A 22,008-nucleotide genomic window follows, 5' to 3' on the forward strand; every position below is an offset into this window, starting at 1 on the left:
GGGACTGTGGATGTGGCTAATTGGTCCCACAGTTCTGTGGTCCTGCCTCGTGAAAGTCTTGGCATAGCTGAAATCAAACCTCAGGTTTCTGCTGAACCTGAGTGCACCGTGGGAATTTCACAGGAACCCTTTAGAGGAGGGGTTACCAAGCTATGGCTGGAGAGCCAAATCCAGCTCACCAACTGTTTGTTTGTTTGTTTTTTTAAATAAAGAAAAGAGGTTTAACTGACTCACAGTTCCTCATGGATGGGGATGGGGAGGCCTCAGGAAATTTACAATTATGGTAGAAGGGGAGGAGGCACATTTTACACGGTGGCAGGGAAGAGAGATCATGCAAGAGCAGGGAAAACTGCCTTATAAAACCATCAGATCTCGTGAGAATTCACTCACTATCACGAGAACAGCATGGGAAAATCACCCCTATACCGCCAATGGTTTTTATAAATAAAGTTTTATTGGAGCACTGCCACACCCATTCTATGGCTCGTTTTTGTTTCACAACAGCAGAATAGTTGTGGAAGTGACTATTTGGCCAGCAAAGCCTAAAATATTATCACCCCCATACCACCAACTGTTTTTATAAATAAAGTTTTATTGGAACACTGCAACACCCATTCTATGGCTCGTTTTTGTTTCACAACAGCAGAATAGTTGTGGAAGTGACTATTTGGCCAGCAAAGCCTAAAATATTACTATCTAACCCTTTACAGAAAAAATTTGCTGACCTCTCGTTTTTTCTTTTTTTGATTTGAATGGGTAGATGAATGCTGACCTCTTCTTTAGAGCACAAAAAGAACCTAGCTTAGGGGCCAGTTTTGCCTGCAGTGCTCCGTGACCCAGGAGATGGAAATCGGGGCGCCATCTTGGCTCATCTTCTCTCCTCATTGTTTCTCAGGGCTCAGAAGAGAGAGAGGCCTTTTGGCCTCTCGGGAGGTGATGTTGGTGGGGATTGCTGTGAGTGTGAATTCAAGTCAGAATCCTAAGCTTCGTAGCAGGGTCTCCCCCACCTGCCTTCTCCCCTTTACCCACACCCCTGCTATTTGTTTCTTTTTACTTCTCTTCCCCAAAATGTTGACGATGAGTCAAATCCAGTAGATACCTGCCTCAGATGCCCTGGATGCAGCTAATGTATCTTCTACTTTATTAATCCCAATGAATGAATGGTGAAATTGATGAGTATCACTGTTTTAGCTGAAGTAGCCCAGCCTTTCTCTGTTGCAAACAGGACATCCATAGCACTTTTTCTTTGAAGAAAGAAATGGCTTCCCCCAGTGCTTAGAGCAAAACCCATCTCTTTTTCCGTGGGTCCTGATCCTTGCCTCTCCCTCCAACCTCATATTCTCTGTTTTCCACTCTCTCTATTCTACCTGTTGTTCCTCAAAGGCATCAAACACACTCCTACCTCAGGGCCTTTGCACTGCTGTTTCCTGGTAGATATTTTACTGGCCAATTTGCTTCTTTGTTCCCCATTAAGGTAAGTTATAGGCGAGGGTTTTCCTGGCTTCCTCACCACTGTATCTCTGATCCCCTCGGTAGTTCCTGGCACACAGGATGAGCTCAGTGAAGCCGTGCTGGCTGCTGAACAGAGGGATGGGCCAGAGAGAGGCTCCAGATAGAAAACCATTTTAAAACTGCTGATCTGTTCTTACTTCGTCATGAGACAGATGCTGAAACCAAAACCTAGAAAAGTTTCTTATCCAAAGTCACATGGCAAGTCAGTTCCAGAACCAGCCTTAGAATCTGGGTTCTTTACTCCATGAACCTCTGAATGTCAATGACCTGTGCGTTTTAATGGTGCCAGCATTATTAAGTAGCATCCCAAGAAATGCTGGATCTCAAGTTGCCATTTGTTTTGGCAGTGGATGGGCAGTTCGTCACTTTAGTGCCTTCCCTAAAATTAAAGGGAGCAAATCAGGATTGTTATTATTATTTTAAATTCTTAAAATGACGGTTCTGAGTGCTTTCCTTCTTGGCTGTTAGGGTTAGATCTTGCCTGTTGAGGGCAGACGCTGGTGCTAGGACAGAGAGCTGCTGCTTTAAGAAGAGATGCTTGAGAGAGTAGAAAAAAAAGTGTTTTTCCTGCTCTCAAATTTGCTCACCACATTCTGCTTCAACAAACACACAACAAAATGCGTGTGGGTTTTTTCCCCACATGCCAAGAATTCAGCAGACACCAGCTGGGTGTCCTCTAACTCAATTCAGTTCTGACACCGTACCTAGAGACAGCGGCAGCTCCCACCCACCAAGGGCTCAGTCCCACAAGACTGCTTCTTTAGACGGCAGTTGCAAACCTCAAGTTGTTTTACCTGTGCTTCTGAACAACCTGCTATAAATCAGGATTCCGATGACCCGCTCTTTGCGCTCAATTAATTTGCTAGAGCGGCTCGCAGAATTCAGGGAAACAGTTTGACTTCCATTTACCAATTTATTATAAAGGATATTACCAAGGATACAGGGCCAGGTGCTTTGGCTCACTCCTGTAATCCCAGCACTTTGGGAGGCTGAGGTCAGAGGAGCACTTGAGTCCAGGAGTTCAAAACCAGCCTGGAAAACATAGTGAGACTCCCCCCGCCATCTCTACAAAAATAATAATAATAAACAGAATTAGCTGGGTGTGGTGGTGTGCACCTGTAGTCCCAGCTACTTGGGAGGCTGAGGTGGGAGGATGATGAGCCCACGAGGTAGAGGCCACAGTGAGCCAAGATGGCACCACTGCACTCCAGCCTGGGTGGCAGAGTGAGACCCTGTCTCAAACAAAAAAGGATACAGATGAAGGGATGTGTAGGGCGAGGTATCGGGGGAAGGGGTGCAGCGCTTCCACGCCTTCCCTAAGCATACGACCCTCCAGGAGCCTCCATGTGTTCAGCTATCAGGGAAACTCCTTAAGCTCTATCCTTTAGGGTTTCTATGGAGGCTTCATTACATAGGCGTGACTGATTACATCATTGGCCACTGGTGATCAATTCAACCTCCAGCCCCTCTCTCCTCCCTGGAGGTTGGGGGCTGGGGCTTAAAGTCCCAACCCGCTCATCCTGCCTTGGTCTTTCTGGTGACCTGCCCCCATCCTGAAGCTACCGAGGTGCCCCCAGCCACCAGTCACCTCATTAACCTGTAGAAGATATTCCTATTATGCCCGAGGTTCCGGGGGGTTTCGAGAATTGTGTGCCAGAAACCAAGGGCAGAGACCAAATATATGTTTCTTATTAGATCACAAGAGGAATGAGCCGCAGTGGCCTGAGTTTTCATCCCCTCTACTGCTCAGCATGTTATCTCCTCTCTGGGCCTCAGTTTCCCCATTTGCCAATAAGGGGATTGAGGGAACGAAATCTATGGTGCTGGAGTTTTCCTGTGTGCCCCGCTCTGTCCGCCTGGCCTCTGCCCTGGCAGCCTGGTTTGGGGTGTGGTGGGCCCTTTGCAGCTGCAGCAGGGACCCTCACCGACCCTGCCTGTCTCCTCTCTCCTTTGCAGGCTCTGTATATGTTCTATGCCTTGGCCATAGTGTGCGATGACTTCTTTGTTCCGTCTCTAGAGAAGATCTGTGAGGTATGTGGAAGGGACTTGGGACACCTTGGTGAAGCCTTGAAGACATGTGGGACATAAATGCCAAGCCAAGAAGGCCAGGGCTGGCGTGGGGAGCATGCTGGTGGCAAAGACTGTCACACCGAGCACTTAGTGTCTGCCCCATGGCGAAGCCTCGCCAGAAACCCTCAAATTGGTCTTGGTGGATGGCAGCCTCTCCCAGAACTTGGCAGAAAAAAACACTCCCAGTGTGAGATCACTACCCAGAACCACTGGGTCCACAGCAGGCTGTTGGCACTTGTGTCCAACCTGGCTAAGTACAAAGCCCAGGCAGGCCTGCCAGCTGCAGTGGAGCATTGCCTGTCACCAGCTGCAAGTGGCAGGTGACAGGTGGGCCCACCCCCACCCCGCCAGGGGGACGCCAAGCTGCAGCAGCAGGGAATTCCCCTCTGTCCTGACCTTTGCAGGCTGGTGTTTTCTCCCCACAACTATTTTGTTAGTTTTTGACTTTCTTTCCTTATTTCTCCTCATACACAAGATCCCAGTGTATCTCATTGCTCCACCTTATTCTTGGCTTCTAGTCAAGGAAGGAAATTGACTTCCGTTTGCAGCACCTCCTGTGTGTGGAGTGCCCAGGGCTTTACCACCCTTCATCCCTGTGAAATCTCCCGCGTGTTTGAGACCATGTCTTCATGGTGACATTTGCAGCTGGGAGGGTGGGTTGTTCAGGGCAGGTGCTTCCCCGTGACTTTCCCCCTGCTGGGCCCAGCTTGGGGAGCTCAGTGTCCTTGCAGAATTGGGACTGGCTGCTTTGGACCTGGGCCCCCCAAGCGGTGACCTGGCAAACGTGTGCAAAGGCCTCCCCTTACCCCACATCCCCTCAGATGGAGCCATGTGCTCGCCTCCATCCAGACGCTTGTCAGTGAGGGAATGAAGCCAGGGGAGGAGGGTGAGGAACAGAGTCCAGAAATGCCCACTGGGATGATCGTGTGGGAGGGTCCACCCAGGGCCCCTGTGGAGTGTGCGCTGCAGCGATGGCGGTTATTAAGTGTTGTTGCTTCTGCCTTCCAGAGGGGGCCCTTGGGAAGGATACAGTCAGCTGATCCTTACTGAATACACACCTAGGACCCACCCGCTAGGCTGAGAGCTTGGGGAGGCCATAGCAATGGGGTTGATGGGAGCCTATGGAAGGTGAAAGGTGGGTGACTACAGTGTAGGGCCACATACAGTGGAGGTGCATGCACCCCGTAGGGTTACCTGTATCCCTAAGGATAGAGGTGAGCAAGGGTGGTGGTCTTAGCTCTGTAGGTAAGACCAATGTCAAGGGCTTAGTGAGAGACATTAAAGGACAGGGGAGCCAAAGGGAGAGGGGGAGCATCTCTCTTGGGGGAGAAATCTGGGAAGGCTTCATGGAGGAGGTGGCATTGGGTCCAGGTTTCAGAAGTGGGAAGGAGTTTAGCAAGCAGAGAGGGAAGGGAAGGGAAGGGAAGGGAAGGGCATCCCAGGCGGAAGGAATGGCCCAGGCAAAGGCAGGGAGGAGGGAGGACAGGAGGCAGCATGGTTTGGGTTCTGCTGAGAGTTTTGGAGATCCTTTGGTGGCAGAGCCTCTTCTGTGGAACCGTGCTTTTTGGCAGGGTTAAGGTGGCCGGCTTCTGCCCTGGAGATCGATGCTGTGCCCCCACCCCAGACTCCGTCAAGCCCAGAGCTCTAACCCTTCTGAGGACCCCTCTAAGGCTTAGCTGACCAGTGGGTTCCTTGGTGGCCCCAGAACCCAGGGCTGCTCAGGGATACTTTGGGAGTTGGGGCTGGTGGAGGTGAGCCCTGTCCTGAGAGGCCTTCTGAGAACCGCAGAGTGGGCGCCTCCAGATTGGTTTTCAGGCAGACCCTCAGTCTCCACGGTTTCTCCAAACATCCAAAGCCTCCAGCGCTGCATTTCGGATCAGAGGATGGGCTCTGTGGCCAGACATGACCCGGACAGGCAGAACAGGCCCCAACCATGAGTTCCCGTCCTGTCCCGTGCCAGCTTAACCCTGGAACCAGTACCTCTGGGTCTTTGTGAGCCACTGGATGTCAGGCCTGCCGTGGAGAAGGCCTTCCAGAATGCAAGGCCCAGCTGCAGGCCAGAGGCCTCCAGATCCACAATGCTGACATTCTCATTGAGGCCCCCAGTACCCAAAACCGGCATGGGAGGGGATGGTCACTAGACTAGTGTGTGCCTGTGGAGCACCACTCTGTGCCAGACCCTGTTCTAGGCACCAGGGATGCAAAGTTGGGAAAGACCAGTTGCTGCCCTCATCATCCGGTGAGGGAAGGCAAGCGTGTGGACCACAAACCCTCATGTGAAATTCACGTTTCAGTAACAGCAGATAAAACACATCGTGTATCTGAGGGAAGTGGCTAGCTCTGAGTGGATGCCTAGGAAGACTTCATCAGGGAGACATTATTTGGTCACGGGCTTGGAGGACAAACAGAAAGGAGATAGTTGGGGGTGGGGAAGGGGCTCTGAGTGGAATGCCTGGTGGAGGCTGGAGGGCAGATGGCAGAGGGCACACAGCATGTGCCCAGGGGTGAGAGGCTGCAGGCAGACGAGTTTGCCTCTGGCTGCAGCACTGCTCTCCTGCATGCTCCTTGGCTGTAGAGCGTCCAGTGATGTCCAGTACCCCCACGTCACACCCTGAGGGTCTGTGGTCACTTCCGTTTCAGAGACTCCATCTGAGCGAAGATGTGGCTGGAGCCACCTTCATGGCTGCAGGAAGCTCAACGCCAGAGCTGTTTGCGTCTGTTATTGGTAAGAAATCCCCTCCAGCCTGAGACACAGGATCTAGAGAGTCCATTTGGTGCCCAGAGCAGTGGGGGCATTTGTCAGCTCTGAGCCTCAGTTTTCTCATCTGTAAAATGGGAGAATTGGAGAGGCAGTAAGTAGACTGGTGGTTTCTTGGGGCATGTGGTAGAGTAGGGTGCTGAGGGGTGATAAAAATGTTCTTTTTAAGGTGATAAAAATATTCTAAAATTAGATTGTGGTTTTGGTTGCACAATTCTGTGAATATACTAAAACCACCGAATTGTATATTTAAATGGGTAAATTTTATAGCATGCACATTATATCTGAGTAAAGCTGCTCAGAGAAAAAGGGAAGATTGGAGTAGCTGGTCCCTGGTGGCATTTCCACCTCCCTGGTTCTGCCACTGCTTCTGCCATTCTCTTCCGCTTCACGGGTGCTCTGTTTGTTAGTAAAGCAACCCACTTTCCTGTGAAAGGGGGACACTGAGGAAGGGGCAGGCTGGGGACGTGTGGCTGAGGCCCAGGGTCTGTGTGTTTCCTTTCCAGGGGTGTTCATCACCCATGGGGACGTCGGGGTGGGCACCATCGTGGGCTCTGCTGTGTTCAACATCCTGTGCATAATTGGAGTGTGCGGACTGTTTGCTGGCCAGGTCAGTGGTTTCTCCCTGGGCCCGGCAGATGCATGCCCTGAAGCGTGGGGGATGAGCCTCTAATGACAAGAGGTTGGGGTAGCAGTGGGGACGCCCACAGGACAGCTGAGCTGGATTCTGGATACATTTGGGGCCTGGTTTTGGCCTCTCCAACAGGGAGCATGAAGCTGGATTGTCATTGATACCCCATTAGATATCCTCAGAGCCCCAGGGGGAATGTTGGACTTGACCTCAGAGAGGCGGGCTCATGAGTGAGGCCCTGCCTTGCAGAGGGAGATGGAAGTGGGCAGCCGACTGTGCCTGAAAGTGCCAGGGTCCGGTGGAGAGCGAGAGCCTCTGGCCTCTGCTGTGAAACACACACTGTTCTGACCTCAGAGGAATAGAGGGCAGCTTTGCCATGGCTTGAGAACATTACTTGGTTTCATTCTGTTCCCCAAATTATAACAAAGAACAAGCGTGGCCTGGAGTTAGGAGGTGGAGCTCTGTGGGCATGCCCTGCACTGCGGGGGGAGGAGGCCTGGGCAGCTGCACCCCCTCCCCGCTTCTGCGCTCATAGCAGCCAACGACGGGGCTCTGCTGGCAGGTGGTCCGTCTGACGTGGTGGGCCGTGTGCCGAGACTCCGTGTACTACACCATCTCTGTCATCGTGCTCATCGTGGTGAGTTGCCCCTCTGCCCCCAAGGTCAGGTTGGCTGGGACCCTGCGAAGGCACAGGACCCCTGCCCATCTCTGCCCCTGGCACTGTGACCAGAGAGGACTCACAGCACACAATAGTGGGGTGTGCCAGCCACTCACTGCGGTCACAGTGACCAGCGCCCCGACCCCCAGCACTGTGCCTCCCTTTCCCCAAAACCTCAGACCCAAAACCTCTCCCACAGAAAGCAGGAGAGAATAAATCTTTGTCTCAAACTGCTGAGAAACCAGTCAGAAATGGTACAGCTGGGTCCTGTAGGCCAGGTCCTCTGCTGGGCTGTAGTTAAGGCCTTAGCCAGGGTAGAATCATCGCAGAGCTTGGCGGGCAGGGCTGCGCTTGCAGGGTCACTCATGTGGCTGTGGGCAGGGCTTGGGCTACTGGCTGTTCCACAGGGCAGCTCTCAGCTGGGTGGCGGGCTTCCCTCAGAGCGAGGGCCAGAGGCACCAAGGTGGAAGCCACAGCCTTTTCCTAACCTGCTCTTGGGAGTGATACCTGCCGTGTATGCCGTATTCTGTTTGTTGGAAGCAAGTCACCAGGTGCAGCCCACATGCTAGGGAAGCATGAATGTCACGCAGTGGGAGCATGGGGACCCCCCTACAGGCTGCCTACCACACCCCCCAAAAAATAGATGTCTGCGATGATTCTACAGATAAAACAATCTACGGATACATGATTTCAAAAAGGTCAACATATGCCCTAACTATAATACAAAGGAGAAATATAATCTATAATAAAAGAATACATATTTCAGTATGTAAATGTTTTGGCACGGATATGCCAGGAGATCCAATGAAGGGATTGGTTCCCTCCCACACAAAAACAATCTCTGAGACCGTCTAGTACAAATGCAAACTGATGCCCAAGTTATGGGCTGGCACCTAAGCCCCGTGGGTGGTGCCGATGTTGATGATGTGATTTTCCACAATAATGAATGACTGCTGATAAAATTCCAAACAGAGCAAAGTATAATCATTCCTTAATTTGCATGACAGTTACCTTACTAGAAAATTAAGGATTCACTAAAACGATGTAAAAACTCTTTGATTTATAAAATGAAGTGAAGGCTGGGCGCGGTGGCTCACGCCTGTAATCCTAGCACTTTGGAAGGCCGAGGCGGGCTGATCACTTGAGGTCAAGAGTTTGAGACCAGCCTGGCCAACATGGTGAAACCTTGTCTCTACTAAAAGTATAAAAATTAGCCGGGTTTGGTGGTGCATGCCTGTAATTCCAACTACTTGGGAGCCTGAGGCAGGAGAATTGCTTGAACCTGGGAGACGGAGGTTGCAGTGAGCCAAAATCGCACTGCTGCACTTCAGCCTGGGAGACAGAGCAAGACTACGTCTCAAAAACAAAAAAATGATACACCCTCCAACAACACTTGCACACCATATATACACACACACACCCTATATACACACACATACACACACACACACACACACACACACACACACACACACACTTAGCTATCTTTCAGTCTTTGAGATTTCTTGATTGTAGCAACTCTACTCCATGAATAAGGGGAGGCTTCTGCCAGGTTAGCCCCCAGCAGCTACTTGGACTGTTATAAAGCACAGGACGTATCTCTGGGGGTGGCCATGCTAAGCTGGGGCCTTGTGATACAGTACACTGCTGGCCTAGGCTACACTAAGGAAAGGCCCGTAGGTGAGCAGCTCAGAAATGGACCCATAACACATATAACAAGGCCAGTATAAATTGGCTCTGGGTGCCTGGGTGTCCGTGCTTGTTCTTGTTTGGAAATAAATATGTCCCACCCACCTCAACTCTGTTTCTTTTGCCTTACAGTTCATATATGATGAACAAATTGTGTGGTAAGTTTTTCAAGTGTAGTTTTCATTGTTCTTTTTTGTTGTTGTTTCCAGTATCCTTATTTGTTGGGTTCCCTGAATCGTTTTAAAAATTATTTTTATAAACTTAAGCTTATTAACTTGTGAAAGTGAAAAAAAGATATTCTAAGCAGTCATGCCTTTCTTTATCCTGTCAAAGTGAGAAAAATTGTTTCCCTTAATAGTCCCAGCCTGCTAGGTATCAGGATATATTATAAAGCAAAAATTCTGAAAACAGTATGGTATTTTGCAAAGGGATATGCATAGGCCAATATGGAATGCAGTAATGGGCCTATTTCTGGAATGGGGGACATTGCAGAGATGTCATAATAAGGCAGTGAGTTAGGAATAGAGTCTTGAATGCTGCAGGGACAACTGGGAATCCACACAGAACAACACAACATCAGATCCCTACCTCACACCTTATACAAGGGTAAACTCCAGGTGATTTAAAGATATTACTGTAAAACTGAGACTTTTTAGAAAATGTCAAAGAAAATATAGAGACTCATCTTTAAGACACTGAGGTAGGAATTGATTTCCTAATTAAGATACATAGCCAGGCATGGTGGCTCACACCTGTAATTTCAGCTACTAAGGAGGCTGAGGTGGGAGAATGGCTTGCGCCCAGGAGTTTGAGACCAGCCTGAGCAACATAGTGAGACCCCGTCCCCCAAAACAGATACATAAATCACAAACTTCTGAGGAACAGGTTGATGTTTCCACTCTATTTGATAGCATGGGAATGCATCTTACATTTGTAACTCATAAAAATTTTCTTTTGATTGCCAACGATTCAGAATCTGCGTGCATTCTATGTTTTTTTTTTTTTGAGACCCGGTCTTACTCTGTCGCCCAGGCTAGAGTGCAGTGGTGCCATCTCGGCTCAAGTGATTCATGTGCCTCAGCCTCCCAAGTAGCTGGGACTACAGGTGCATGCCACCACACCTGTCTAATTTTTTAATTTTTTGTAGAGATGGGGTTTCACCATGTTGGCCAGGCTGGTCTCGAACTCCTGGGCTCAAGTGATCCACCTGCCTTGGCCTCCCAAAGTGTCTGGATTACAGGCTGTGTCCTGTATGATTATTTATGGAAAGAGAGTCAGACAATCAGGCCGAGGACATCAGCCACCTGCCCTGAGCAGCTGTGTGCTATGGGCCCCCAGAAACCTGGTTCTGGTCCTCTCCTGGCCCCCAATCTGCTGTGTGGCCCCAGGAAAGCCTCTGAACTCTTGGGTTTCATTTTCGTCATCTGTAGACAGGGTTGAGATGGCAGTGGTTCCATGATCTGGAGGTTAGCAAAGGAAGAGCTCCCAAAACAACTGTAGCCCATGCTGGACACATAGTGGGCTTTGGTTTATATGTGTCAAGTGAATGAACAAGCTAAAGCTTGTGTGCTGCTCCAGGGGCTTGTGGTCAGAGCTACAGAAATCCCCACTGCTAATGGGATTGGGTGGGATGCACCAGAGGGTAGTAATGGTTGCATCCCAGGAAGACCCCAGCCTTCCATGGGCAGCATAAGGCCTGGGAGGCTCCTGTGCCACCTGCCGCATATTCAGTCAGCTCTCAGGCCCTACTTCCGGGACTGGGGCCCCTTTCCTCCCACACCCACAGCTTCTCTGGCTCCTGCCCAGAATCTTGGGTGATCACAGGGTCTCTCAGGGTCGAGTTTGTGTGACTTCAGGCCACGCCACTAGCCTCCGTGAATACTGGGACATGGTGGCCCTAGTCCCTCCTTTTTCTAGGAAGCTGAGGGAACCCCACCTCTGTCCTGCAGACCTCTATAGTTGAGAAGAGACCCCTCAGCTTTTCTCGCTTGAACATCAAGAGGGCTGCTGGTGGCAAGACAGCCACAGGCTGGGGGATCTCTCTCACATGCCTGGGTTCTGGGCCCGGCACTAGGGGCGGGGGAGGTAAAGACATCCCGCCCTTCCCCACTTCTGGACCCCTCATTCCCAGCCTTCACCTGCCCCGGGCCCCGAGCTCTAACCGCAATCTCCTTTCTCTCTTTGAGGTGGGAAGGCCTGGTGCTCATCATCTTGTATGTGTTTTATATTCTGATCATGAAGTAAGTGCCCTTTCTCCTCCCCGGGGCTGCCGACGCCTTGCCCCACTGCCTGCTACAGCCTTTTGTGACAGCAGGGAGAAAAACATCTGTCAGATCTTTGTCCTTTTAGGCCAGCCCCAGCTCTCTGGTAGACACCCTGCTGGGGGACAGCTGGAGTAGGGGAGGGGTGTCAGATGCTGTTCCGGGGGTGCCGTCCACACTGAGGCCAGGGGAGTCACGCTGGTGGCTGATGTGTGGACCACAAGGCTGCTCTCCAGACAAGTAGCATGCAAGGGCCTCTTTCCCGCCCTGCTCTGGGCAGCTTCTCCATGCCCCAGGGTAACCACTCACTTGTGCTGTCTCTAGAAGCCTTCTGATAATTTAATACCACTCTTTTCAAAAAGCCAGGCAGGTCTGCCCCAGGCTTCATAAAATGCCACTTCTCAGGGCCAGTGCTTGGTACAACTGCAGCACCACTGATAGTACTGAGGATGCAAACTCAGGCTATGCCACCTTGAGCCCCTCGAGAAGCTACCCAGGTCAGAACCATCTCAAAACTACCCATGAGGAATACTATGCAGCCAGAAAAAGGAATAACGTTCTGACAGTCTACCACATGGATGAACCTGGAAAACATTATGCTAAGTGGAAGAAGCCAGTCACAAAAGGACAACTATTGTCTGATTGCACTTACATGAGGGATCTAGAAGAGCCAGATTCATAGAGGTGGACCAGAGGTCAGTGCAGGCGGCTGGGGAGCAAAGAAGGAGGAATTAATGATTAGTGGGAATAGTGTTGTTTGGGATGATACAAATGGTTTGGGAACCGTGCTGATGGTTGTAGAACAATGTGAATGTAATTAATGCCACTGTTTTGTGCCCTTAAAAAGGGAAAGTAGTTAGAATGGTTAATGTTATGACATATATTTTTTTCCCACTACATACACACACACACACACACACACACACACACACACAAATCCCTACTCATGAGCTGAGCCATGTTCAGGTTCATCTTCCTCCTCATACCGCGATACGTAATTAAAAAGACAACACTCTGGGTTTTATGAGGATATAAATCCCACATTTATATAAAACATTTATAATGTTTTATAAAGATGGGTGATAAACTATCAGACTGCAAGAGCATTGTCCTTAAATGATCTCCACTCTGAGTGCCTTTCAGCGAGAGCCCGCCTGAGGTTCTTTGAGATGGAGAGACTCTTCCCTCAGGGGTGATGGCAGTGCTGGCTGTGAGTGTGCAGGAGGTGCCCGTGAGCATCCTGGGAGCAAGATCTGCTGCTGGGGGAGAGGGGACAGGCCTGGTAATGCCCCCTGCGAGCCTGCCCAGAGGCGAGGCCGAGCTTCCTTTATTAGGACAGGCTCCAGTAAGTAGGCCTCAGTCATTTTCTTAGGTGAAAGTTCTCTCATGCCTCCAGGAAGTCCACCACCAGCTCAATAGGAGCAGGTGCCACCAGACAACACAATGCTCCCAGGTCCCTGTCAGGAAACTGTCAGCCCAGTTGAAAAGCTGAGGCTCCACACCTCCCCTGCCACCCACCACTCCTGGGCTGTGCTGACTGCGTGCAGGGATGGGGTGTGATCCACCCGCTGCCCAGTTGGTGGGACTCCTTTCCATTGCCCTGACCTCCTGCCTCCCCTCGCTTCCAGGTACAATGTGAAGATGCAAGCCTTTTTCACAGTCAAACAAAAGAGCATTGCAAACGGTAACCCGGTCAACAGTGAGCTGGAGGCTGGTAATGATTTCTATGACGGTAGCTATGATGACCCTTCCGTGCCATTGCTGGGGCAAGGTAAGGCTGAGCAGACAGGAGTGGGCAGAAATGTGTCCTGGAAGCCACTCTCTCCTCTTTTGTGTACACACACACACACACACACACACACACACACACACACACACCCTCTCACAATGTCCCCCCTCTAAATTGTCACTCTCTTACCTTTGACCACAGGTGCCCTAAGAGAGGAGGGAGAGTCAGTATGGGAGATGGGGTTTGCTTAGGTGGGGCAGGGGTGGAGGGAAACTACACCAGGAAAGAGAAAAACCACAGCCACGTTTCTGGGCGCTTTCCCATGCCTTCTGGGAAAGGCGTAAGGCCTGCTTGGCTCTTCAGAATGCAGTGGTATCCCTGACCCCTGTAAGGGCCCACGACAGGCAGCTGAGGAGCTGGGGCAGCAGAGCCAGCCTGGGCCTCCCTGCGGTTTCTCAAATGCCAGACCCAGTCCTGGATGGAGAACGGCTCTGGACAAAGCATGGGTTCTCGGGCTGGGAACTGTTGCCCGGAGGAAGAACAAGGCCAGGAAAGGCAGACATGAAGCTGAGCAGGCATCCCCAGGCCAGCCTCAGACAGCCCCGCCGGGGAGCCCCTTCCCCTGGGGCAGCAGCCTCGTCTCCCCAGCGGCTCTTTGGCCCCCTTGTCCGGGAACTGGGGGTCTGGGCCTCCAGAGCCATCTGCTGTCGTGTCTTACTGAATTCTCTGAATCATCTGGGCCTGACCGATGGCTTCCTTGGAAACCTGAATAATCCAAGACCAATGACCAGGCGGCTCCCTTTGTTGGGGCAGCTGCCGGGAAGGAGAGAGCGTTCACTCTAGCCCAGACCAGTAGGAGAGCAGGGGCTGGTTCTTGCAATTGGTATGGAAAAACAGGTCTGACCTCCACCCACAGTGTTGGGCAAGGCCTTCACCAGGTGAGCGCCTTGCACTGGTGTCTGGGGGCTCTTTCCCCCGCTTTCTCCATGGCCTGGGGCTAATCACCTCCTCTTTTAGGTGAACTCTTTTGTGATGTCACTGGTGGGATGGAGTGGTCTCAGATGTGTCTGGGACATCTGGGGTGCAGAATCTGTATTTCTGGGCCCCCTCTCCAGTCATCATCCTGGAGCCGATGAAGGCAGGGGCTTCCTCCCATGTGCATTTTGGGAGTCTGTTCTGCCCTGTCTCAGGTAACCCCCAAGAGGGAGGAGTCTCTCCGTATAGAAGGAGGAAACCTGCCAGGGTGGCGGGGTGCGGTCCAGGCCACAGCCTGGCTGCTGAGGCCCACCCACAAAGGACAGAGCTGAGGAGCTGATGGGCATGGAGTTTGATTCGTGTGTCGTGTTTCATAAATGCTGAGCAGACTACCCCAGGGGAAGCCCGTTTCCAGGACAACCTCAGAAGGGGAAGGAGCCATGAGGGCGGCTGTGTCGGATTTTAGCTCTATGGACGCAGTGGCCCCGAGACGGTCCCCACACACAGCCTGGTCCCCACACACAGGCTGGCAGGACAGAGGCTGGTTGCTGCCCTGTCGTATATATGGTGCTTCTGGGTCCTCTGGGCCTTCATGGTGAAGAAGAGAAGTATTGTGTGCTGAGTCACTCAGGCCAGTGGCAGATGCCCATCCAAGAGCCACCCACCACCTGTGCCAACCCAGGAGACCTCCCAGGACCCTGCAGGAAACATTCCTCATTCACAGCATGGGGGCCTCAGCTCCTCACCTTCCCAGAGCAACCCAGGCTCCCAGAGGCCCCCGCCTACACAGTGCCTTTTCTGGCACTGCTGTGACTGTCTCCATCACTCTGTGCCTGTGACAGTAGCACTTCCTTGCAAGTTTATTTTCTCCCAAATCTCTTTAAGTCCAGGACATTTTCTGGAAAACTGGAAGACTGGACACAGGACTGCCCCCAAGCACTGGGGAAGGAGGGAGAATCCCATCTTCCTGCAGCTTTTATCAGAGGGAATGCATTTAGATAAGGGCCAAGGGAGAAAACAGTCCTCAGAAAGTGTGGAGGGAAGTGGGGTACAGGCCTGGACGCCTGGAATTGGAGAAAGGGGAGACCTGGAGAGGCAGACGTGGGGATTTCTTCACCCCACTTTTACTGCCCCTATCATAAGAGGCTCCCAGAGGGCCATGTGTGAGTCACTGTTCTGCACTGTCCCCTGCGTAGACTCGACTGAAGCAGGAGGAAGGAGCCCCCGGTAACACCCTGGGTGGGACTGGGGAGGCCAGGGCTTTGGGGCTTTTCCTTTCCTAAGGGCGGTGCCATGGAATCTTTTGGCTGGAGATGACATTGGGGTTTCTTTCCCTGTGCCCAGCTCCAAGCAGGTCGCTGTGTGGCCACCCCACCCAAAGGAATGCACGGGTTGCTGGCTGGGAGATTCTTCAAGAGCACACACTCTCAGGCCCGATCGAGCTGTTCTCAGTTTTTGGGTTTCCCATAGAAAACCCAAAGTTTTATCTTCCAGCTTCTTGACAGGAAAAGTGGGCAGAAAGCCTTTTCCCCACCACACTGATAAAAGGCGTTTGAGTACTGAAACGTTCTTAAAGGCTGTGTGGCTTGGCTCACCAAAGCAGCCTCCTGGTGCTTCTCAGGTGGCCTTGAACACAGCCTGGGCCACTTGCCTGCCGGCCTCGCCCAGGAGGCACACTGTGGACCCTTCCAGGCTGCCCTGGCCCTGGGCACAGCCTTGGTTTGGAGTGGGGAGAGTTGGGGGTGATGCCTGGCCTGGGGCTGGACTGCTGGGAGAATGTGCTGTCATTGAGTTCTTTTCCCGGCAGCCACTCCGGGCATGGGCACACACCCTTGTTCTGTCATTGGTCAGGGGACACCAGGACAAGCTGTCCCGGGAGGCAGGCATCCTGGGGAAGGAAGGAGAATTCCATCTTCCTGTAGCTTTTATCAGAGTGAATGCATTTAGATAAGGGCCAAGAGAGAATACTACCTAGAGAGTGTGGAAGGAAGTGGGGGTGCAGGCCTGTACTCCTGGAATTAGAGAAGGGGGAGGCCTGGCTCTTGTCTCACAGACTCCAGGCTCTCTCCTTCTGAGCCCAGTTGTTCCTCCAGCAGTACCTGGCATGGGGTTGGTTCTGTAGGATGGAGCCTGAAGCTGCGTTTTCTGTGGGTTCCGTCTTCCTCTGGGATGGAGGCTTCTGAGCAGGGAGGGATTTGAGCTTTCATGCAGCAGTGAGGGGCTGAGGGCATGAGCTGTGGAGGGGGCTCCTGCTCCTCAGAGTGGAAGCAGAGCCATCGAATCAGCCAGGACAGGAGTCATCCCAAAGGCCAGAGGCCCCAAGTGTTGATGCTCCCCATAGAAGGAGCCCGCTAATAACACTCTCCAGCACATAACCCCTGGCATCTTCGCCACCACCAAGAGTGCTGCCCCAGACTCTCGGCACCCACCGCACGCTAATCATCTCTGGCAGTTTCTGTTGGCCTTTGTCTCCTTAACTCTCCTCCTCTTCTAAATTGTAAGTAGTCAGCTTTCATCCACGCGATAACACGTGCATTTCAAGCAAAACAGCCAACCACAAGCCCAGCCCACCAACGCACTGCGCGCCTCGTTAGAGGTTAGCGTCCATCTCTGACAAATGCATGTTCTCCTGGCTTTGTTTTCTAACCCACACGCCTCCTGTCTGCTGAGCCTTGCTGCCTGTTTGGTGAGGAGTGTGTGTGTCTGGTGTGCTTTTGTGCTATTAACTCTTACACGGGTTTGCTCTCCGGACCTATTCGCTGGTTACCCTAAAACCCGTAAAGGACACACCAGGAGCTGGTAACCAGTGCAGAGGGACAGTCCTATCCATTTTTATAGCCCTTTGGAGGGGAACACTCTGCCTGCTTCTGCATGCTGTGTTCATGAGCAGTTTTGTAACTAGACCCTCCTAGGGATCTGGAGTCAAATGTGAAATTCCCAAGGATACCGGCCCAGTGCAGGTTTATGAAGATGGCAAGAAAGAGGTCTGGGGACAGGGAGTTTTGTTCCTCCCCATTGTGAGGGGAAGGAAAGGGTCAGAGAGACCAGCCTCCCTCCGGAGGGTGTCAGGGTTTATAGTCACTGGGCTCAGCCAGCGGCTCACCGTGCACCCTCAAACAAGCAGGCTCCTCTCCTGGGTCTTAGTTGCCTGTCTAGGTCCCATGATCTAAATCTTTGACCTCACTACTTGCCCTTATAAAGAACAAAGTTACAAGCATTCTGTCCTGCAGACAGAGCAGGTGGCCTCGTAGGAAGTTCAGAGCCAGTGCCCACTGCTCTGCAACATTTTCCACCCCGGGGACCCTTGTCAATTTGCAAAATTTCATCTGAGCCTCTGTACGTGGGGGAAAGAAAGGTCCCCTCATAGTCATGGGTGAAAAGTGGTAGGCCCCCGTGTGTATTGTAGGTTGGCTGCCCTGGTAAGGCTTAGATAACGAACTGAAAGACCCTTGTAATTAGCCAAGACTGGGCCCCAGAAGAGAGGCGAAAAGAGCATCAATTGCCCACGAGTGGTCCTGGAGCAAGGGGACACACTGGGCTTCACACACTAGGTCAGCAGGTGTTTCAAAGCTAGTGACCCACTTTGCCTGACATGAGGAGTTGAAGCCAGGCATCCAGACTTCCCGGTGGCTGCCAGCTGCCAGGACCACAGCCTAGGGCAGCTCACAAGGTGAGGGGAAGTCAGTGGCCCCAGCACTTGGGTGTTGTCCTCAGAGAGATCAGCACTAATCACGGTGTTGCGCTCAACAGTGAAGGAGAAGCCACAGTATGGCAAGAACCCCGTGGTGATGGTGGACGAGATTATGAGCTCCAGCCCTCCCAAGTTCACCTTCCCTGAAGCAGGCTTACGAATCATGATCACCAATAAGTTTGGACCCAGGACCCGACTACGGATGGCCAGCAGGATCATCATTAATGAGGTGAGTTTGCTTGAAGGACCATAAAAGTGAGCAGCCTTGGATGCAGGAGGCCTTGGCTTGTTAGGGCTCTTCCTGGTGCCATTGATCACTGCACCTGTTTAAGGAAGGATGCCCTGGGGCCTCCAGAAGCCTGCCCATCAGCCACAGGCAGCAAATTATCCTTTGAAGAGATATTTTAAAGCCTGCAGCAATCGAATACCTTGCCTGAGATATTTCACTAAGTATTTTGTCAGGCACTAGAGTAGAACTAATTGGAGAAAGGCCAGCCTGAAGTATGGATTATTTCTTTAAAATGTTGTTTAGGGCAAAACAAAAAAGATGAGTTCACACCTGTTCTCTGTGGACAGAACAACTCCAGAAGGAAATCTAAGACACTAATGAGCAGCAGTGACCTCTGGGGCTTCATTTTCACTCTTGCTGTGTTTAAATGGGGTGCTTTTATTTCTCACTTGCAGAGATAATGATTTTAATATTATTTAATGTATAAACAGTATAGCAAAGATAGGTTCATTGCTCACCAACTTTTCCAGTCTTTGTTGCATGTGTGCATTTTGGAATTTTAAGTCCTTACTCTGAGAAGCAGATGGGTTGGTAGACTTCAAACTGTGATCGCTGATAATTAGTAGTTAACACATAGATTGTATGCAAGAACGATATTTCACAGTGCCTACGGGTTCATATTGTAAACATTTCTCTTTGATTTAATGTGTACTGTGCCCTCTCTGTAGAAAGTATATTAAGAAAAGGAAACACCTTTCCAAAGTTTTGAATCATTGTGAATCATTTCGGTCCAATTCGGTAAAATTTGAATCAATGAAATTTGACCGAATCCAGGCCGTCTTTCATGCATGCATTAATTGTACCCACTGGGTGCTGAGAGGGTGGGGAGGGTTGAATAACTTTTAAGGATTTAGAGATTGGGATTTATAGTATCTTTTTCATGGCATATATAGCCGGGAAAGGAATAGGTTTTGGTAAGTTGCTGAGATACTGGTTATTATGCCCTAAATGTTCTAAGCTACTGGGAAGACTTTATCTTCCACCATGTTGTGATTGAACTACCTGGAAGGCAGCATGGAGAGCTGGAGAAGCCGGGTCCAGAAGGAAGGAATTCTGAGCTTCAATCTCACATCAGCCGCTAGCCCACTTAATGTGAGGGTATTGAACAGGATGCTTTCAGCTCTAAAAATTTCAGTGACACACACCGAAAGGCTGTATGTCCACAAAAGACATGTACACAAATGTGCATAGCTGCAGTCTTCATAACAACCAAAAAGGGGAAACTATCTGAATGCCCATCAATAGGCAAAGCCATATCGTGGGTTATTCAATATAATAGAATACTACACAGCCATGAAAAATAACAAACTGCTGACTCATGCAACAAGCTGGGTGAATCTCATGGCTATTGGTTGCCTGAAAGAAGCCAGTCATAAAATATACATTAATACTTGAATCCATTTATATGAAGTTCAAGTTCAGGAAAAACTAATCAATGTTTACAAAAGTCAGCAAAGTGGTTGCCTTGGTTACCTCTGGAGTAGGGGTATGTAGACTAGGAAAGTGCCTGAGGCGAGTCTTTGAAGGGGCTGGAAATGTTATACATCTTGATGTAAAACATCATTAATCTGTGCACTTAGTGTAAGTGTACTTTTTTTTTTTAGGACAGAGTCTTGCTTTTGTTGCCCAGGCATTATCTCAGCTCACTGCAACCTCTGCCTCCCGGGTTCAAGCGATTCTCCTGCCTCAGCCTCCTAAGTAGCTGGGATTACGGGGGCCTACCACCACGGCTGGCTAGTTTTTGTATTTTTAGTAGAGACAGGGTTTCACCATGTTGGCCAGGCTGATCTTGAACTCCTGACCTCAAGTGATCCACCCACCTCGGCCTCCCAAAGTGCTGGGATTACAAGCATGAGCCACCGTGCCCGGCAGTGAGTGTACATTTTGTATAATGTACCTAAAAAATTAAAAATTACAAAATGCACGCAGGGCCTTTCCTGTGGCCATCTTCAGGCAGCTGTGAACGTCACCAGGGAGAGCCCCGAATGATGGCTGTCACCAGGGCCGTGGGCTGGGTTGTCGAGCTGGCAGTAGGAAGGGGTGGCCCAGGCCCTCTGATAAATCCTCAAAGTTTTCCTGGTAACCATGCAAATGTAAGTGACCAAACATAGAAGGATTCCAAGGTCCTGGGGCTGATTCTCAGGCAAACCTGTCCCCAGGGTTGTTGTTCTAGGCACCTGTAAGAGCAGGGTGCGTGTGAGGGACCCAGCGTATAGCAATAGCATGATGCTTTATCACATGCCTTGGTGTCCATGTTGCCTCCTGTCCACACAGCGGCAGAGACTGATCAACTCGGCCAATGGTGTGAGCAGTAAGCCGCTTCAAAACGGGAGGCACGAGAACATTGAGAACGGGAATGTTCCTGTGGAAAACCCCGAAGACCCTCAGCAGAATCAGGAGCAGCAGCCGCCGCCACAGCCACCACCGCCAGAGCCAGAGCCGGTGGAGGCTGACTTCCTGTCCCCCTTCTCCGTGCCGGGTGAGTTCTGGGGGTACTGGACTCTCGGGCTACATTTTTGGGGGCTCCATTAGGACCAAGCCCAGGTCTTCAGGATGGAGGCATGGACTTGTAAGGGCGGCAGAGGGCTGGTGCAAAGGGTCGATATTAGGTCACTGGAATGCTTAGGAGGCGAATCTGTCCTCAGTACTGAACTGTGGGTTAGAGCTGCAGTGGGGTGCGGGCACCACCAAGTGCAGCAAGAGCCTCGGGCCAGAGAGCAGGGCGGCTGGAGGCCTGGAGAACACCAGTGACCCCTAGTGACCACACTTAAATGTTCAGTGCAGTCGATCTTTTGTGCCAAGGAAAAGCAGTCCACAGTGTTATTTTTAGGGACATTCTTGCACTCTCTTGGCCCTTGCAGCAGGCCATTTTGCCTATGCATCTCTTTATTTGCTGGGACAGGAGATTCTAAGGCCACAAATGATCCTTAGACAGTCATACCTTGTGTGTTTGAAGATATCTCCTACCTATAAATAAGTCCAATCAGACTGAGGCTCTGCAGCCAGCCCTCCAGGGTCCTCCCATCTCACTTGGAGTCTGACCTGCGAGGCCCCATGTCATCTGACTGCCGACTCCTGCTGACCTCAGCTTCTGTTCTTCTGCCTCTCCTGGCCCCTGCTGCAGCCACAGCGGCCTCCTCACTGTCATTCCTAGAACACACTGTCATTCCTAGAACTGCGCACCTGCCCCAGGACCTTTGCACCTGCCTTTTGCTGGAATGCAGTTTCCCCAGGTATCCACATGCCCACTTCCTCACCTTCTTCAGGTCTCTGCTTAAATGTCACCTTTTCACTGTGACCTTCCCTGACTACCGCATTTAAAATATTTTATCTTTTTCTTGTGTCTCTTGCCCTGCTTAAACTGTCAGCTCCACAAAGCAGGTACTTTTGTCTACTGCATTTATCTGCATCCCCAGTACCCAGGACTGGCCACATAGTAGGGGCTTGGTAGGTATCCGTCAAATGAATCCAGGCGTTCGTGTGTGAGAGGATCCCAGGACCCACCCCGCCTGCCTTCGTCTTTAACTAAGCCTTCCGTGAGGTCCTCTGGAGTCCTCAGTGGGAAACAAAGGCCCGAGCTAAGCTGTTTGGCCCCATTCTTGGAGGCGTTTTTTCTGATGTCCACCATCCTGAAAGGAGGCAAGATTCCAGAACTTTCAAGTCCAGAACTTGATGTTTTCTGAAAAGAATTCTGTGTTTAACATCAGGCTCACTGAGCACCTGACTTGGGAGGTGACTCTGGAGG

The 22,008-nt window shown here is 51.1% G+C and overlaps 1 protein-coding gene across 9 annotated transcripts in view, besides 2 other annotated features; it reads left to right on the plus strand.

The window, feature by feature from the left end:
• The window catches only part of SLC24A4 (solute carrier family 24 member 4), a 178,901-nt gene that overhangs the window by 113,286 nt on the left and 43,607 nt on the right, over positions 1–22,008 (plus strand). For 4 of the 9 annotated variants that reach the window (NM_153648.4, XM_011536436.3, NM_153646.4 and 1 more), the window contains 9 exons: positions 3,469–3,543; positions 6,223–6,307; positions 6,847–6,950; positions 7,534–7,608; positions 9,451–9,476; positions 11,505–11,558; positions 13,208–13,350; positions 18,034–18,203; positions 20,538–20,742. In NM_153648.4, coding sequence (NP_705934.1) covers positions 3,469–3,543; positions 6,223–6,307; positions 6,847–6,950; positions 7,534–7,608; positions 9,451–9,476; positions 11,505–11,558; positions 13,208–13,350; positions 18,034–18,203; positions 20,538–20,742 — 937 coding nt within the window. The other 5 variants (XM_011536437.3, NM_001425254.1, NM_153647.4 and 2 more) reach the window with 3 other exon arrangements.
• Positions 13,891–14,391: an enhancer, noted in NCBI's record as "H3K4me1 hESC enhancer chr14:92916101-92916601 (GRCh37/hg19 assembly coordinates)". NCBI's record gives its function as "activates a minimal SCP1, AML or CMV promoter by ChIP-STARR-seq in primed H9 embryonic stem cells {active_cell/tissue: H9 hESC(primed)}" and the evidence as "EXISTENCE:reporter gene assay evidence [ECO:0000049][PMID:30033119]".
• Positions 20,867–20,916: a silencer, noted in NCBI's record as "silent region_6033". NCBI's record gives its function as "represses an Ori minimal core promoter by ATAC-STARR-seq in GM12878 lymphoblastoid cells {active_cell/tissue: GM12878}" and the evidence as "EXISTENCE:reporter gene assay evidence [ECO:0000049][PMID:35858748]".

The sequence above is a fragment of the Homo sapiens genome, chromosome 14, assembly GCF_000001405.40.
Source record: "Homo sapiens chromosome 14, GRCh38.p14 Primary Assembly".
In the NCBI taxonomy this organism is placed as follows: Eukaryota; Metazoa; Chordata; class Mammalia; order Primates; family Hominidae; genus Homo; species Homo sapiens.